This window comes from Homo sapiens, chromosome 8, assembly GCF_000001405.40.
Source record: "Homo sapiens chromosome 8, GRCh38.p14 Primary Assembly".
In the NCBI taxonomy this organism is placed as follows: Eukaryota; Metazoa; Chordata; class Mammalia; order Primates; family Hominidae; genus Homo; species Homo sapiens.
In genome coordinates this window covers 42,391,368-42,406,458 of record NC_000008.11, presented here as the reverse complement: position 1 = coordinate 42,406,458, position 15,091 = coordinate 42,391,368, and the positions used below count along the sequence as shown (strand labels likewise).

At 41.0% G+C, this 15,091-nt stretch overlaps 1 protein-coding gene across 16 annotated transcripts, besides 5 other annotated features; it reads right to left on the bottom strand.

Moving 5' to 3' along the window:
- Positions 1 to 521: 521 nt before the first annotated feature.
- On the bottom strand, positions 522 to 14,579 carry VDAC3 (voltage dependent anion channel 3). Of its 16 annotated transcripts, none has more exons than NR_182163.1 (11): positions 14,531 to 14,579; positions 12,575 to 12,614; positions 12,181 to 12,249; positions 11,326 to 11,375; positions 7,595 to 7,747; positions 6,756 to 6,808; positions 4,444 to 4,671; positions 3,369 to 3,506; positions 2,998 to 3,148; positions 1,535 to 1,592; positions 522 to 1,088 (listed from the first exon to the last, which is right to left on the bottom strand). NR_182163.1 is itself a non-coding variant. In NM_001135694.3 (11 exons), exons 3-11 carry the CDS (start codon positions 12,245 to 12,247, stop codon positions 997 to 999), a joined length of 855 nt encoding a protein of 284 aa, NP_001129166.1. In that variant the 5' UTR covers positions 12,248 to 12,249; positions 12,575 to 12,614; positions 14,531 to 14,579; the 3' UTR covers positions 522 to 996. The 16 variants fall into 16 exon arrangements, 12 of the variants coding, with proteins under 12 accessions (NP_001129166.1, NP_001400484.1, NP_001400483.1 ...); NM_001135694.3 differs by lacking the exon at positions 3,369 to 3,506 and adding an exon at positions 9,779 to 9,781; NR_182160.1 differs by lacking the exon at positions 3,369 to 3,506 and having other exon boundaries at positions 4,446 to 4,671.
- Positions 5,059 to 5,278: a silencer, noted in NCBI's record as "fragment chr8:42258699-42258918 (GRCh37/hg19 assembly coordinates)". NCBI's record gives its function as "represses an EF-1alpha promoter that drives an FKBP-Casp9 reporter gene in an ReSE screen in K562 erythroleukemia cells {active_cell/tissue: K562}" and the evidence as "EXISTENCE:reporter gene assay evidence [ECO:0000049][PMID:32094911]".
- Positions 14,074 to 14,574: an enhancer, noted in NCBI's record as "H3K27ac hESC enhancer chr8:42249403-42249903 (GRCh37/hg19 assembly coordinates)". NCBI's record gives its function as "activates a minimal SCP1, AML or CMV promoter by ChIP-STARR-seq in primed H9 embryonic stem cells {active_cell/tissue: H9 hESC(primed)}" and the evidence as "EXISTENCE:reporter gene assay evidence [ECO:0000049][PMID:30033119]".
- Positions 14,074 to 15,075: a biological region, named in NCBI's record as "H3K27ac hESC enhancers GRCh37_chr8:42248902-42249402 and GRCh37_chr8:42249403-42249903".
- Positions 14,303 to 14,832: a silencer, noted in NCBI's record as "silent region_19155". NCBI's record gives its function as "represses an Ori minimal core promoter by ATAC-STARR-seq in GM12878 lymphoblastoid cells {active_cell/tissue: GM12878}" and the evidence as "EXISTENCE:reporter gene assay evidence [ECO:0000049][PMID:35858748]".
- Positions 14,575 to 15,075: an enhancer, noted in NCBI's record as "H3K27ac hESC enhancer chr8:42248902-42249402 (GRCh37/hg19 assembly coordinates)". NCBI's record gives its function as "activates a minimal SCP1, AML or CMV promoter by ChIP-STARR-seq in naive H9 embryonic stem cells {active_cell/tissue: H9 hESC(naive)}" and the evidence as "EXISTENCE:reporter gene assay evidence [ECO:0000049][PMID:30033119]".

The window sequence follows — 15,091 nt, the reverse complement described above, 5'->3', positions numbered from 1 at the left end:
CTGCTCTTAAACTCAAAAAAAAAAAAAAGATTTTCAAAAGGAGTTCTACTTTTAGGAAGATGATTTACCAGTGAGCCCTGAGGATTTTATAGTCTGCTCATTTCTTCTCTAAACTGGTACTTCATTCCTTGGTTATCATTTTTCTATACTAGTAATCAAAAATCATGTTTCTGAAGCCCAGGAGGAGTCCCAGAAGTGTCCACCCAGCTCTGGCCTCCTCCCACCGTCTCTCCTCCCCATGCTTCCCCAAATGCACTCGTCCCTCAACTGTCTTTTCACCCGCTCACATCCACACTTTCTCAGCAGCTGCACACAACTCCCGGGGTGAAGCAACCCTGTCACACCACAAGCACAACAGATGTGCCACTCCCCAGCACAACCATGTTCACTGCTTCCTTCCTCAGCCTGCCCTGTGAGAGCAAGAGAAGAGCAGGGGTCAGTGAAGTGAAAGGGACAGACGGCAGCCCTGATACTTTAGACACAAATCTCGCCTGTGAAAGTGCTTCTTAAAACAAATCACATCAAGGTAAGAAAACCATCACCAGCAAGTCACATGAGCAGTTATGTTCCAAATGTGATGGGTTTATTTTATTTTACTATGATGCAAAACCAAAGATTCCACTATAGCACAGAGACCAGTATATTACAAGGTCATGAAAAAATGGTGTGGGACATGCAGGACGTGATGTACAAACTGGTGGGTCAGATCGTCTCCTCTAACATGACGCTACACTGTCGCTGAGGAACACATTTAATAACACTTCAGAACTGAACTGAAACGTGGCACAAACATGACAACTTCCAGGCATGCCTTCAAGCATCTCCCTCAGGAGGGATTCGCAACCCCTAGACTTCAGTGTGGGGAGGATTACAATTCTTTGGAAGAATAAAAAGTTCACACTTTTGAAATTTCACAGAAGAATTTTAAGGCCAAAACATAGTGGGTTCATTTCTCTTCACTTCCAGGGACAAATCTGATGCTTTCCTCAAACCACATTAAGCTTCCAGTTCAAATCCCAAGCCAACCTTGTGACCTCCTGCACTGAAGTTCTTCCCATCGATTAAAGCTGATAAAGTCAATTTGACTCCTAGGAAGAAGAAAACACCACAATCACTTGAAACAAGTATTACAATTAGATCTGAACTTTCTAGAAACAACAGATGGAATCAATGGTGTGGATTGTAGCTGGGTATACGAGCTATAAGCAAACAGCTATTACTCAATCGGTTATTTATAACTATCTGATGTGTAATGAGGAAAGCATGATCATGGCAAACTTTCTCTGAAGTTCAGGGTTAAGGGCAATGAGTGATCAACCAAACTCAAAGGCCAAAGTGACCACATTATAGTCAGAAATACATACTTTTTTAATGCAAAAGTATTTGATCTGTATTGTTTTCTGTCTGAACAACCAAATGTTACAAAATGGTCCAAATCAACTTACAGTGACTACAGGTTGTTCTGCAGGTTATTTTCATTGTTTTCTCTATCACCTTCCACCTCAACCCCTCTGTTACTAATTCCTTTACTTACCTGGTCGAAGGGTCTGAGTATAACCCAGTCCAATCAGGCTGGCATTATTTACTTTAGCCTAAGATTAAGAGATAGAATAATAACAGAAAACAGTGAATTACAGATCAGTCCAATATAACCATCACTTTGTGCATTAGGTTTCCAATGCTAAAAGCACCCTAGGGCCAATCTAGAATTACTGATTTTTTTTTTTTTTTTTTTTGAGATGAAGTTTTGTTCTTGTCACCCAGGCTGCAGTGCGATGGCACGATCTCGGCTCACTGCAACCTCCGCTTCCCGGGTCCAAGCCATTCTCCTGCCTCAGCCTCCCAAGTAGCTGGGATTACAGGCATGCGCCCCCATGCCCGGCTAATTTTGTATTTTTAGTAGAGACGGGGTTTCACCATGTTGGCCAGGCTGGTCTCAAACTCCTGACCTCAGGTGATCCCCTGCCTCAGCCTCCCAAAGTGCTGGGATTACAGGCGTGACCCACCGTGCCCAGCCGGAATTACTGATTAAGAAGTCAGTAGGACTTGTAGGGGTAGGACGTACCCTGAGAATGCATGCTTCAAGGCCTCAAGCAAAATTTTTAAACACTACACAACCAAACACCCTGAATTCTCTGAGATACCAGCTGACAATCTCTCACAGTGGTTACGGCATGAACTTGGGTGACAGAAAAACAGACCTAGGTTCAATTGTGGCACTGCCAGTTACTATGTGACCTTAGGCAAGTTAGCTGACCTTTCTAAGGCTCAGTTTTCTCATCTGTAAAACAGGGATGAGGATAACACTAATCGCCACATGGAGTGGTTGTGAGCGTTAAATGACATAATATACATAAAGCCCTTAGCACAGTACATGAAATTTAACAGCTCAGTGTTATTTTTAGTAAGAGTTACTATAGCAACAGAAATAGTCATCTAATCCCATGAATTTCCAAATAAGAAAATTCTGAGGCCAAAGTGATAAAATGACAAGGTCAGACAACAGATATACAGGAAGAGCTAGGACTAGAAGAACCCCTATTTCCTGACGTCAAGCATAATTTTTTTTTTTTTTTTTTTTGAGATAGGCTCTCGCTCTGTCACCCAGGCTGGAGTGCAATGGTGTGATCTTGGCTCACTGCAACCTCTCCATCTGCAGGGTTCAAGCAATTCTCCTGCCTCAGCCTCCCTAGTAGCTGGGACTACAGGCGTCACCTACCACGCCCACCTAATTTTTGTATTTTTAGTAAAGACAGGGTTTCACCTTGTTGGCTAGGCTGGTCTTGAACTCCTGACCTCAGGTGATTCATGCACCTTGGCCTCCCAAAGTGCTGGGAATACAGGCGTGAGCCTGGCCACATTATATTCCTTTCACTACACAATGAGCTGGCTTATTAAAATTAATAAAGAACAAGCAAACTACACTCATATCACAACATTCTCTGAAAACTTAGACACAAACATAAGAGCAGATCCAATCTGGCAGCACATTCTTACAGAGAGAGAAGTTCTACAATCCAGCATGTACTTAGCAGCAATGCCAAAACGGGTGTTGTTACTCCCAGCTGTCCAAGCAAGGTTTATGGATGTTTCAATCTTCTCATTCACCTTCTGGTAGATAGAACCTCCAAATTCAGTGCCATCGTTCCTGTTTTCATAGATAAGAAAACGTCATAAATATCTAGTTTGTACCATTGTTATTATGGTATGAAAACAAATTCTAAGACTATCTAAACAAGGATCCCATTTTGTAACTATAGATTTCAGCAAATTTCTAGCATAAATGACTACTAAACAAAACACAGAACTAAATCCAGCTATGCCAGTAATGACTGCTTAATTAAAACGTTAACACTTGATCCATTTACTTGGCTCCTCCACATGATGTGAGTTTCTTAAGACAATTCAATTAAGCACAAAGGCAGACACCTCGGGTAAGTATAATCTATAGGTCTCTGAGAAGTTCATAGAACTTAGAAACTTCAAAGTAGAGTTCAATAAAGATTCTGCAAAAAAATAAAAAGGTAGAGGTATAGGAATAAAACCAATTCTGGATTTCCTTTAAAACACAATCCTACAGTTAGAAAGCACCCTCCTACGATACCTAGGGTGCACTGCTCCAGAAAACCACCTTAGTTATTGCTTCCAAGCATGCCAGAGGTGAGTCCTTGGGTTTTCACATGGTTTTCCTGATAATACTGTTTCATCAATTTCAGTAACTGTCTATACCACTGCTTGCCTTTGTTTTAGCCATCATAAGTAAATTAGAGCATCTAGCAGAGAGGAATCTGCAACAGTTTAAAAACACATAGTTTGCCCTTTGCTTTTTCTTCCTGGTATAGTAGCAGTGTCCAGTAGGCTCAACATAAAATACTACGTAAAAGTTCTGATTCATCCCACCAACATGGTGCAGCCTACATAACTGAATCCCAGGACTCTTTCAGAGCACCTGTTACTTCTGAATGCATTAGCGGTACCTGGGTTCCAACCGAGAATACCAGTACCTGAAACCTCCACAGAATTACCGGGATGTCCCAGGATGCTCAGATCAATTTGGTGGTGGTTGTTGGTGACCAAAACAGACCTGCTTCCAGATACTGTCAAGATGAGAGGGCAGCAGAGGAAGCAGTAACATCTCCAAAGGGTCATCTTACCATGAGGTAAGCCATGCTCTGGGCTCCCTCTATCCCAGTGGTTCTTCTACAGAGGCTGGAGCTTCCTCAAGTTTGGGGTGCAGGCTGAGGGGCCAGTGACCACCAGCAGCACAGCCTGCACACCACGTGCACCAGCCTCCTGGCAAGGTTTTGCTATGAGGATAGCACCGCAAGGATGGATATTCACCAAGGCATGCTAAATCTGAGTACCATCACTTCTCAGCATGCTAATGGCTACAATATTTTGGGCAACTGCACTGATACTAAGGAATAAATTATAAACACTCACACATGTGTGTGCAGCTGGAAGTCCGCAGCCTTGTAACCCAGGGCGAAATTATTCTGTGACAGTTTGGATTTGGCTGTGTCAAAACTCATCTGATAGCCAGCAAGCCACCCTTCGAAGGCCAACACAGCCCAGCCATAGATGGTTGGTCCAGAAAAATCTATATCAACATTACTGCCAACACTAAAACAATCCCGTTTATAGGAGGCCTTCAATTTCCCACTCTTCTTTCTGCAATAAACAAACAAACAAAAGCAAATGATGAAAACAACATGAGTTCTTACTACTGTCTAGGAATTTTTAGAGTAAGATCCTCTCTCTCATCTCCCAATGTAAATATTATTTTGGTACATGCCACATATATAGTAAAAACATTTCAAATGACCTAGTTCTACAAATATAATTTTGTTAGGATTAGACATGTATAGACTACTATCATCTATTACTCATTATAAGTTCAAATGATAGGATACTTCATGATTTATTTCATAAAAGCATGAACAAAAGTATAAGAATGAATAAGAGGCTGGGTGTGGTGGCTCACACCTGTAATCCCAGCACTTTGGGAGGCCAAGGTGGGCGGATGACGAGGCCAGGAGATTGAGACCATCCTGGCCAACATGGTGAAACCCCGTTTCTACTAAAAATACAAAAATTAGCTGGGCGTGGTGGCACACGCCTGTAGTCCCAGCTACTTGGGAGGCTGAGGCAGGAGAATCACTTGAACCTGGGAGGCAGAGGTTGCAGTGAGCCAAGATCATGCCACTGTACTCCAGCCTGGCGACAGAGCGAGACTCGTCTCAAAAGAAAAAAAAAGAATGAATAAGATATTTCAGTGCCAAATTAATAATCTGAAGGTGTATGTATACAGACGTACAAGAAGCCAAATCTCTTTAAATGTTTCCAAATGCCAAATGCCACAAAGAATTAATCCCCAATATACATTATTAACCTATCATGGAGAGAAGCATGCTTTTTTGAAGGACAATACTGAAAAAATGAAATTAGTTCTTAATAACCCTATTCCAATCAAGCCTCTTGTAGGAATATTTGTCCTGGCCGGGCACAGTGGCTCATGCCTGTAAGCCCAGCATTTTGGGAGGCCGAGCCAGGCGGAACACGAGGTCAAGACAGAGACCATCCTGCCCAACGTGGTAAAACTCCGTCTCTACTAAAAATACAAAAATTAGCTGGGCGTGGTGGTGCATGCCTGTAGTCCCAGCTATTTGGGAGGCTGAGGCAGGAGAATTGCTTGAACCCAGGAGGCAGAGTTTGCAGTGAGCTGAGATAGTGCCACTATACTCCAGCAAGACTCCATCTCAAAAAAAAAAAAAAAAAAAAAAAAGAAAAGAATATTTGTCCTAAAGATAACTGAAGTGTGTGGCAAAAAGAACACACCTGTTGTTACGGCTGAGACAAATGTCACTTTGCATTCATCTAGCAACCTCCGTCCTTCAGATAGCATGGACCCACATTAGGCAGATAGGAAATGACACAATCCCCCTTTTTTTCACGAGGAAATTGAGGTCAAGAAGTTGGGGGATTTACAGAGGCTAAGAAATCAAGTAGGCAGCAGAACTAATCATTATAGCATCTGAGAGCCAGATCACCTTCTTAAGAAATTAACTTTTCAGCACCATAAGAGAGGGTGAGGGGGAAAAAAAAGGAATTAACTTTTTTTTTTTTTTTTGAGACAGAGTCTCGCTCTGTTGCCCAGGCTGGAGTGCATCTCGGCTCACTGCAAGCTCCGCCTCCTGGGTTCATGCCATTCTCCTGCCTCAGCCTCCTGAGTAGCTGGGACTACAGGCGCCCACCACCATGCCTGGCTAATTTTTTGTATTTTTTAGTAGAGATGGGGTTTCACCGTGTTAGCCAGGATGGTTTCCATCTCCGGACCTCATGATCCGCCCATCTCGGCCTCCCAAAGTGCTAGGATTACAGGCGTGAGCCACCACGCCCAGCCAAAAGGAATTAACTTTCTCAGCAGAATACCATGTCCATCAATCTTCAGAATTGCTTAAGATTCATCTATGGTCTCAAGACTCTTCTAGCTCCTAAATTTTTTCTACCATGTGTCTCTCTCAAATACATTTATACATTTTTGCTCATCTATTCAGTTTTCAAATTGTTCATCCTGCCTTGGTGGGGAGGGATCTTCCTTTATCTGTATTACCTATACAAGGTCTCCAATATTCCTTATAGCAACCTTCTGAGTTCTTCCTGCCTCTGAACTTTGCACTATATCTCCTTATTCTAAAGCTCTCTACCCTTTCAGGCTCCAAAAACGTTTCAGGAAATGGGATTTGAATAATTACCCTGTGTTCGGTACAAATATGGTATCAAGAGTCAGTTTCAACCCTTCAGCCAACTGAAAAACAAAGATTTAAAATAAATAATTAGTAATTTTCAATCATTTATCCAACTCAAGAAACCAATTCTAAAGTTTCCTGAGTTCTTTAACAAAAAAAAGGAGTCATTCAAGAAAGCAAAATATTAAATTATGTAATAAGTAAGCTCTCCATCCTCCTGTCCCCTCACCCCAGCCTTCATCATGGTTCTCCCACTAAAAAATGGGGCAAATCCTATTTTAGCAAGTTACATAAAATACAGTTCAAAACCAAACAGAATTCCCATACAACAAAATCATCTTGATACTCTCTTGAAAGAGCAGTAATGAGATAACCTGACATTTAACAAGCAGGCTAAGTCATTTTACTCAGTTTTGCATGTACATTATCTATACATGGTATCTCTATCAAAAACAGTGCCCTGTACATAGTGGGCACTTGACTATATCTAATAGATTTTCTCCTTGAAAACATGAGAACATTTTAGAAAAATTTTTCTGTCAAGCCAATTTTTCAACAATTACAAAACTAAACCAAATTTCCGCAAATAGTTTGTTCTACCCAGGAGAAGCTTAGCTGTGTAACAGAGAACCAGTCAGAACAAAGATGTAATATAGTAATTAGAGTACTCACAAACAAAGCCTTATTTTCTAGAAACATAAGACATCAAAAAAGGCCACATGCAGAGAAAAAATATGGCTACTAGATAGGTTGTAAGATCTCTTTTGATTATATTTGGGGTATGTTCATCATTCAATCTACAAGATAAATTGAACCTATGAATAACTTCTAATGCGTTCTCTTACCTTATTCTCCCAAGAGATTTCTGTCCCTAGAGTATTGTCTGTGTTCCATTTCTGGGTGAAGGTAAGTCCATAGTTACAGACCTTATATTTGGTTTCTAGGTTGCCTGATGCTTTCCCTGTATCAGTGTAAGCATGACCAGAAGTAGAAAATTCCTGGTAAGCAAGAAAAAATAATTACTTTAAAATTAGCTCATCAAATAGAAAATATTCACTTTGGAAAGCAGTGTTCAATGTATCAAAAACAATACCATTTACTGCTTGCCACAGCCCTACTCTAGAGCAACTTCTTTCCTCCTTTCCCCTTGCTTTTCCAGTCCCTAAATATTTTAACCAGTTCTGCCAGGCGCAGTGGCTCATGCCTGTAATCCCAGCATGTTACGAGGCCAAGGCGGGTGGATCCCTTGAGTCCAGGAGCTCAAGACCAGCCTGCGCAACATGGCAAAACCCCATCTCTACAAAAAATACAAAAAATTAGCCAGGCATGATGGCACGTGACTGTAGTCCCAGCCTGAGCCCAGGAGGCAGAGGTTGCAGTGAGCCGAGATCATGCCACTTCACCCTAGCCTGGGCAACGGAGTGAGACAGCTCAATACCAGTTTCAGATCTTTCCATTACTCTACTTCTCTTATTAATATCTCTTGTTCCATATACTCTCTTACCAAATGGTAATCCTAAATTCTCTCCTTTAAAAAAGAAGTATCTTTACTGAAAACAAATGCCTTTACTAAAAAGACCAAAAATATTGTATCTTAAACATTTTACTTTCATGACCTAAAAAAAGATTATCAGTTCTCTGCTATATGTTTCAAACTATCAGTTAATTTCAAGGTCCTTAAAAATCCCAAAATACTGCCCTCCTCCTTTTTAATAGGGTCAACACTTTACTACTTCCTTTTAAAAATGTTTTTTTTTATTGTGGTAAATACATGTAACATACATTTTACCATTTTAATAATGTTTTAAGTGTACAGTGAAGTGGCATTAAGTACAGTCACACTGCTGTGAAAACTTTAATGCTTTTGTGTGCAAAACTGCAAAACTTCTGCTTAGACAATTTCAATATTTGAAAGTACTACCCATTTTTCAAAATAAAGTAGAATGCTATAATTTATCCTTCTTTCCCCCTTTCTATCCTGTCTACCTTTAAGAGTGCTTTCTATCAAACAGTTACTATGAATGAGACTCTGTCTCAAAAAAATAAAATAAAATAAAATACATCCTTTGCCCTAGTTCAGTGCCCTTTAAGTCATATGACAATAAGCAATTAGAAATGGACCTCCTTCTGGGGAAAGCAGACAGCACCTGTCACTGACAATCTATGAACTGTCAAGAAAAAACATTCTGATTGGTCCTGTTTTAGGGAGCATTTCTGAAATCCTGCCAACAGTAATGAGATGCTGCCAACCCTGACCAGTCTTTTTCACTGCCTGCAACATGAATCCTCTCCTTAACAAATGCCCTGTCCCCTAACTCTAGTTCTACAGGCAGATGAGACAACTGGGAAGTTATGTTCTGTTTATCAAACCACACAGAATGGTTTCAAAGAGAGTATCATGCTGCACATTTAGGGGAAGGCCTTAGTAAAAAAAAAATGATAACATGTTAATCATGTTTAACTGTTCACATAATTATTTTAACGTGACAATCATTTTTCTTTTAGTAGATCCAACTATCTAGTGTTTTATTTTTTACATTTACTTTTCACAAACTTGACAAGTATAACAAATGCAAATCTTAATTTTGGTGCTAGAAAAACCTTATGCACAAAATTAAGGTAGAGGGGTAGTCTACATTTCTCCCTTGTCAGCATCAATTCTTAGTTTGAAGGTCTGTCACGAATCTAAAATGCCACAGGTACAAATCTCAGAAAAAAAGGCTAGAATTGTTCTAAGTTGAGTTCCAGGCTCACGATTCACAGTTCAGTTTGTGTCTAATTTCATAATTTGGTCAAACAAGTGCAAAACACATTTATAACATGCATATAACATGCATATAGCTCTACATTAAATGCTTAGTAAGCAACAAAACAAACAAAAATGTTACTGTTAAGTAGATAGCATATGAGAAAAATATCAAGACACAATCTAAGAAATTTGGAACAATGATTGAAATTTATCCTAAATCAATACCAGAAACCAAAAGCAGCCATAAAAACAAGCATACGAATAAGCTTTTTTTTCTTACCATCTGAATGAATATTACCACACAACAGCAGCATGAAAGGGAGATAAAATTTTAGTTGATAATTTTTGCAACACAAACCTAATGAGCAAATTCTGGAACCTACACAAAATGAGAATGATTCTTCTATTTTAACAGAACTATATACACAGCGTGCCCATCTTAGTAAGGGAGGTGCATATATATTTATTTACTCCAGAGAAACCCAGGGAAAGAATGATGGTCACAAACCATGATTATACACAGTATCATTAGAATTCCACATGTCTTTGTCCTTCTAATTATACATTCAGAAATAAAATTTTCATGGGTTTGAATGGATAAATACCAAAAACGATGCAGCCAATGAGGAGAAATCAGAGTAAGGTAAATTAAAACTTAACCTACTTGCTGAGATTTATTAAATAAAAGCAATTTTTTCTGAGACGGAGTCTTGCACTGTTGCCCAGGCTGGATGGAGTACAGTGGCACGATCTCTGCTCACTGCAACCTCTGCCTCCTGGGTTCATGCCATTCTCCTGCCTCAGCCTCCCAAGTAGCCAGGACTACAGGCACCCGTCATCAGGTCTGGCTAATTTTTTTGTATTTTTAGTAGAGACGGGGTTTCACCATATTAGCCAGGATGGTCTCAATCTCCTGACCTCGTGATCCGCCCGCCTTGGCCTCCCAAAGTGCTGGGATCACAGGCGTGAGCCACCGCACCTGGCCTTTTTTTTTTTTTTTTTAAGACAAAGTCTCACTCTGTCACCCAGGCTGGAGTGCAATGGCTTGGTCTCGGCTCACTGAAACCTCCACCTCCCAGGTTCAAGAGATTCTCCCGCCTCAGCCTCCCGAGTAGCTGGGACTATGTGCGTGCCACCACACCCAGCTAATTTTTGGTATATTTTTAGTAGAGACGGGGTTTCAGAATGTTGACCAGGCTGGTCTCGAACTCCTGACCTCATGACCCGCCCACCTCGGCCTCCCAAAGTGCTGGGATTACAGGTGTGAGCCGCTGCACCCAGCCAAAAGCTATTGTTAATGATACTTTGAAAATATGCCAACATAGCCTTTACTGTAGTCTTTACTTCCAATAAAAAAAACTTTATAAACATCAGTTAAAAACTGTAGAATAATGTACATGCATACGTGCAGAAATACATTTTATTTACATATTTTGTTTCGACTAATCATGAAGGGGCAGAGTAAAGTTAATTTGTTTTTGTAAAAGGGTAATAAAATTTCCATGAACCCATTATCATGGAAGTGAGGTTTTTGGTGCCCATATACATATTCATGAAAGTATAAACATATGACATGGGTCAAAAAATATATATTCTACATCTTCTGAGTGAAAGCTGTAGTATACTCTGAGAAACACAAAAGGTCTCTTCAAAAATTCAACTTGGTTGTTTATTTTAATTGGCTAAGAATGCTGTTTAAAATCTGAGAGGACAAAGCTGTGGGGAAGACAGCATGGTGCTGGTTCAAGTAACTAGACTGTCATGATTTTAAACAGATTCCTTTAAGTTAATTATGTTACATTCATTAAAAATATATTAGATACTCACCACTCCACTACAAGACTTGGTTTTCAGGTCTATCTTGACCATGCCAAAGCCTATACACACACACACACAAAAACACAGTAATGTACAAAATGTGACATTCACTAGTTTTTGCAACTCAGAAATTATGAAATAGCCTATAGTACCTTCCATATGAAAAATGCATAGTATTTTCATTGGGTGAGAGTTCCTCAAGAAACTGAATTATAACCAAATAAATGCAGTATAATTTTCAAGCACTCAAAATGAATAAAGATATACTTTTAAAATGTAAGTTAAAGAAAAAAATAAATGAAAGGAATATGCACTATTCCAAGAATCAAAATTGCTGAAAATAGTGTGCTGCTATATATATCGTTTAAAATATAGTTAACATTACTAGTTAATAAGAAAAAATCAAATATGTACAGCACATAAATTTAAGTTAAATTTTAAAACCTAAAAAATATTTATTTAGGATCAGAATATACATTACTCCAAAGAAGTCAAAAGTTATGTTGTCACTTTCATAAAAACAATGCCACTGTTTGGAGGGAGGAAAAGTTCTACCCCCTAATTTAATTGTCCTCAGGGCCAGACAAAGAGACATAAATGTTATATATATTATTCTACATTCCAGATAACATTAAATATGGACATGTATATGCATCTGTATATGTATATAATTGCTTTTAATGCTTGTAAGGGGTTCTGCCTCTAAAGAATGAGGTCTAATAGCCTGTTAATAGTTATCCCCTTAAATCTTGTGAAGTGGAATAATGCTGACTTACCCTTATTTTACTAACACAGTATTTACACACAGTAGGCATTCAACACTAACCTTTACCCCAAACTGGAAAGTTACAATAGCATACTTACCATATCCTTTGTTGAAGACATCCTTAGCAGCCTTTCCTAGGTCACAGTACGTTGGTGTGTTACACATATCTTATAAAGAAAAACAGGGCAAAGGAATAAAAATAACCATTTAGTATTTATTCACCCACAGTTCTTCTGCTGTTTAATCCTGTGAGAAGGGGTATACAGTTTTCTCTTCCTGTGTATCATTAATGCTTTAATGCAATCAAAGGTATGAGACAGCAGTCTGCTCCTTAAAAAACAGACCTTTCCAGAATACTGAGAATAAAACAGTTTTCCCGTGAGATTCAGAGGTCATCTTTCTGATTGCATTTCAAAGAAAAGTAAGTTCTTACAGGATGAAAAAGATGCTATGTTAAACTGGACTTCTTTTAAAAATATATGCAAAATTTACCTTAGAAAAATCTCTCTCAGGCTCTTATGAAACCAAAGACCTGTATAAGACAACAATGGAAATTTTTAAAGAAACTGTTAAAAGATGCAATCAAAATCCTCAGGGTTAACATTTTTCTCCTCTGAAATTCAGTTCTTAAAATAAGAATTTACCATACGAATTGAAGTGTATTCATCTAGAATATATCTTCTCTCAAAGCTCTTCTTAAAGTGCTATAATTTTACCCATTAACCAGAAATATGACAGATTCTACCTGCAGCAACCTGCTTACCAAAAGTTAGTGTAAACTCTGAAGTTAAAGCCTTCAAAAACCTCAGGTGCCTTGATTTTTCATCTTGCCTACTAAAAATCTGCCCAGCTTTGCTACTGGTAATATGACCCTCATATCAAATTCTCAGAGCTATCAACACTGCTGATTATCTCATTCCTTTGCCCTCTTTGTATCATGGGAAATCTTTCTGCAGCAGGTTCTTCTGTATTCCTCTCGCAGACTCAAAAGCTATGTCTAACCAATTACAGAGCCACCTCTAGCAGTGCCATTAGCCCATATGTCAGAAAAATCCAGAGTACCAGCTAGCCCTTGCAATTGCTACGCCTGAATGATCTACACATTTAAGCTCATATTTATTTATATATAGCCCAGCTCTTAATCCAGACTTCTGCTAAGCTTCTGCCTACCCCATCATACCAAACATATACATATGATGCACTTAAATGGGAATGCATTTAAGTTTTGTTCCTTAACATAAACCTGTCAAATATGACAGACACTATGATATAAAGAGACTAGTATAAAAAACTAAAAAGAAAAAAAAATTAAAGAGGAAACGGTAGTATAAATGTACTGACTCATTCCATAGTAAAACTTTGCTCTAAGCTACCAGGTTTCATAATTCACTTACAGAACGATTATTTTACAATTCAATCCCTTGTACTAAAGTGATCAATTCTAGGCTTTTTATATTATCCCAATTGCAATTTGATATTACTCTTTATGATTACAACTGATGTTGATATTTGTTGAAATTTTGCCAGAAGTCTGTAATTTGGGAAGTAAGTATAGAAATGCAGGCAGTATATATTGAAATAGAAATGTTAAAGCTTTACAGTCTGGTTTTTCATACTGCCGAGAAAAGATACACTTAAATGTTTAGAAGCACTATATATACGTCTAGGGACTATTTACAATATTTCAGCATTTTGTTTTGTTATTTTTCAAAACCAGTACGAGATACTATGCAAAAGTCACGTAGCTGGTTTAGTATACTAACTGACCTCAATTCTGCCTAGTTCAAGCTGACTTTTTCAGGCCTATGACTCTGATGGGAAATGCACTGCTAGTATGATCAAGCAAAAATCGAGAACAACAGAAACTTCATGTTCCTCGAGAGTAAAGCTACAACCACACGTCTCCACCAGCTCTACAGAATGCACCTGCCCATAGATGTGCACACTGCACAGAGGCTGCAGGAGACGCAGACGGGGAAAGGCGTTAAGCCGGTTGCTACTGCTTTACAAAGCCACTAACTTGACAGCCAGTACAGAGCCCTTTTCGTTCCTCGCTTCTCCGTTTTGAATTGCACGCAGGGCACCCTCCCTCGGCCGTAAGGAGGGGGCAGGGGCGGGCGGGAGATGGGTGTGGGGTTCGAGGATCCAACTTCCCTAGAACCGATCTCCTTTCTAGCTGACCCCTGGGAGGAAAGTGCGGTCCACACGCCGGCGGGATAGGTCGCTGCCCGCGCCCGGAGGCCACTTGCCCCGCCGTGCTGCGGCTCCATCGCCTGAGGTGGCCCGGGCGGGTCCCGGCGGGAGCGAGCGGCCCCGGCCCCCCGCGCCCCGGTAGCCTGCTCCCTGCCCACAGAGCCTCCGTTAGGCCCGCCTCCCGCCTGGCGCTCTGCTCGGCCGCGGCCCACCGCTCTCCGGGACTGGAGCCCGCGCGGCCTCAGCTCTCCTCACCTCCACCCCGAGGGCCTGTCTCTGCTCCGCCAGGGCAACGCTGAAGGTCTTCAAACCAACGCCGTCCGCGCCTGCGCAGCCTCGCACCCCCAGCCGCGCCTGCGCGCCGCCCCTCCCCGAGAGCGCCTGTGCGCCGGCGTGTCGCGCCACGGTCGCGCGCTTCGGAGCAAGGCGCGGAGACGAACAGCCGGGCCAAGCCAGCACCACCAACTGTCCGGCTCCGCAGCGCGCGTGCGCAGGAGGGCTCGGTGTGGACAGTGAGGTTGACTGGGGGCCCAAGAGGCTGGGGACCGCACCTGTGCCCTTGAGGGGACTCATTCTCGCGAGAATGCGCGAGGTTGCTAGTTAACTGTTGCCATGGGTGCGGCCGCGAAAAGGCCGCAGGGTGCCGGACCCCAGGTTTGAGGCATGCCGCAGGCCGGAGTGTAGTGGCGCGATCTTGGCTCACTGGAGCCTCGACCTCCTGGGCTCAAGCCGTCCTCCTGCCTAAGCCTCCTGAGTAGGAGGGTCCACAGAAGCGCGCCACCACGCCCGGCTAATTTAATTTTTTTTTTTTTTTTT